Source organism: Homo sapiens, chromosome X, assembly GCF_000001405.40.
Source record: "Homo sapiens chromosome X, GRCh38.p14 Primary Assembly".
Taxonomy (NCBI): domain Eukaryota; kingdom Metazoa; phylum Chordata; class Mammalia; order Primates; family Hominidae; genus Homo; species Homo sapiens.
In genome coordinates this window covers 117,280,299-117,282,798 of record NC_000023.11, presented here as the reverse complement: position 1 = coordinate 117,282,798, position 2,500 = coordinate 117,280,299, and the positions used below count along the sequence as shown (strand labels likewise).

The 2,500-nt window shown below is 47.4% G+C and overlaps 2 annotated features.

Moving 5' to 3' along the window:
* Positions 798 to 1,297: an enhancer, noted in NCBI's record as "H3K27ac hESC enhancer chrX:116415465-116415964 (GRCh37/hg19 assembly coordinates)". NCBI's record gives its function as "activates a minimal SCP1, AML or CMV promoter by ChIP-STARR-seq in primed H9 embryonic stem cells {active_cell/tissue: H9 hESC(primed)}" and the evidence as "EXISTENCE:reporter gene assay evidence [ECO:0000049][PMID:30033119]".
* Positions 1,298 to 1,799: an enhancer, noted in NCBI's record as "H3K27ac hESC enhancer chrX:116414963-116415464 (GRCh37/hg19 assembly coordinates)". NCBI's record gives its function as "activates a minimal SCP1, AML or CMV promoter by ChIP-STARR-seq in primed H9 embryonic stem cells {active_cell/tissue: H9 hESC(primed)}" and the evidence as "EXISTENCE:reporter gene assay evidence [ECO:0000049][PMID:30033119]".

The window sequence follows — 2,500 nt, the reverse complement described above, 5'->3', positions numbered from 1 at the left end:
AGCCGCTGCACGCAGACATGAGGGCTAGGCTAAAGGTCAAGTTGTTTGGACAGAAAGGCTACAGGGTGCGGTCCTGGCTCTTGTGTAAGAATTCTGACTGCACTAACCATGCCTAGGAAGGAAAGGAGTTGTTGTTTTGTAAGGGATTGAGGTTTGGGAGATTAATCAGACATGATCAGCAGGGAAAGCACGTGTGTTTTTATGAGAATTACGCCGAGATAGGTAACAGATGAGGATTAAATTTGGGCTTGACTGAAGTAATGGGGGCTGTCTGTGAAGCCTTGCAGCAGTACAGCCCAGGTAATTTGCTGAGCCTAATGGGTGTCAGGGTCAGTCTAAGTTAAAGCAAAGAGAGGCTGGGATGAAGGGTGCAAAGGAATAGTAAAGAAAGCATGTTTGAGATCTAGAACAGAATAATGGGTAGTAGAGGGAGGTATTGAGGATAGGAGAGTATATGGGTTTGGCACCACGGGGTGGATAGGCAAAACAATTTGGTTGATAAGGCGCAGATTCTGAACTAACTTGTAAGGCTTGTCTGGTTTTACGACAGGTAAAATGGGGGAATTGTAAGGAGAGTTTATAGGCTTTAAAAGGCCATGCTGTAGCAGGCGAGTGATAACAGGCTTTAATCCTTTTAAAGCGTGCTGTGGGATGGGATCTTGACATTGAGTGGGGTAAGGGTGATTAGGTTTTAATGAGATGGTAAGGGGTGCATGATCGGTCGCCAAGGAGGGAGTAGAGGTATCTTATACTTGTGGGTTAAGGTGAGGGAATACAAGAGGAGGACGCAAAGGAGGCTTTGGATTGGGAAGAAGGGCGGCAATGAGATGCAGCTGTAGTCCAGGAATAGTCAGGGAAGCAGATAATTTAGTTAAAGTGTCTCAGCCTAATAAGGGAACTGGGCAGGTGGGGATAACTAAAAAGGAGTGCTTAAAAGAGTATTATCTAAGTTAGCACCAGAGTTGGGGAGTTTTAAGAGGTTTAGAAGCCTGGCTGTCAATACCCACAACAGTTATGGAGGCAAGGGAAACAGGCCCTTGAAAAGAAAGTAATGTGGAGTGGGTAGCCTCCATATTGATTAAGAAGGGGACGGGTTTACCTTCCACTGTGAGAGTTACCCGAAGCTGGGCGTCCGTGATGGCCTAGGGGGCTTCCGAGGCGATCGGGCTGCATCAGTCTTCAGCCACTAAGCCAAGAAGGAGTCAGTCAGAGAGCCTTGGGCCAGAGTTCCAGGGGCTCTGGGAGTGGCTGCCAGGTGAGTTGAACAGTCCAATTTCCAGTGGGGTCCCGCACAGATGGGACATGGCTTAGGAGGAATCCTGGGCTGTAGGCATTCCTTGGCCTGGTGGTCAGATTTCTGGCACTTGTAGCAAGCTCCTGGGGAAGGAGGTTCTGGAGGAATGCCTGGCTACTGCAGTTCAGGCGTTTGGAAGTTCTTGTGTGCTGGAGATGTGGCTGGGGTTTGTCTCACAGTGGAGGCAAGGAATTGCAACTTTTTTCTATTATTGTACACCTTGAAGGTGAGGTTAATTAAATCCTGTTGTGGGGTTTGAGGGCCAGAATTTAATTTTTGGAGTTTTATTTAATGTCAGGAGCAGATTGGGTAATACAATGTATATTGAGAATAAGATGGCCTTTTGACCTTTTAGGGTCTAGGGCTGTAAAGCGTCTCAGGGTTGCTGCTGAACGAGCCATGAACTGGGCTGGGTTTTTATATTTGATGAAAAAGCCTAAACGCCATCTGATTTGGGATAAAGAAAAAGGAGCATTAACCTTGACTATGCCTTTAGCTCCAGCTACCTTTTTAAGAATAAATTGCTGGGCAGGTGGGGGACGGCTAGTCACAGAACAAAACTGTAAGCCAGACCAGGTGTGAGGAGGGGAGGCGATAAAAAGATTACAGGGTGGAGGAGTGGAGGCTGAGGAAGAATTAGGACCTAGCTTGGGCTGGCAAGGAGGGGAGAGGTCAGATGGATCTGTAGAAAAGGAAGATTAGAAAGACTCAGCGACGCTTGGGGTTGGGACTGAGGGGACAGGCGGGAGGGAAAGAAGGAAGATTTGGGAGGAGTTGCACTGGGCACAGAGACTAGGAAGGGTCTGATGTGTAAAAGAATGCCTGGACGTCAGGCACCTCAGACCATTTGCCCATTTTACGACAAGAATTATTTAGATCTTGTAGGATGGAAAAATTGAAAGTGCCATTTTCCAGCTATTTGGAACTACTGTCGAGTTTGTATTGGGGTCAAGAGGCATTGTAGAAGAAAATATGGCATTTAGGTTTTAGGTCAGGTGTGAGTTGAAGAGGTTTTAAGTTTTTGAGAACACAGGCTAAGGGAGAAGAAGGAGGAATGGAAGGTGGAAGCTTACCCATAGTGAAGGAGGCAAGCCCAGAGAAAAGAGTAGAGACACGGAGAAGGGGTTTGGGGTTTCTTGCCCCCTAGAAAAGCGGGACTTGCTGCTAAGGGTGAAGGAGAGGGGGTTGAGGGATACTTGGCCCTGC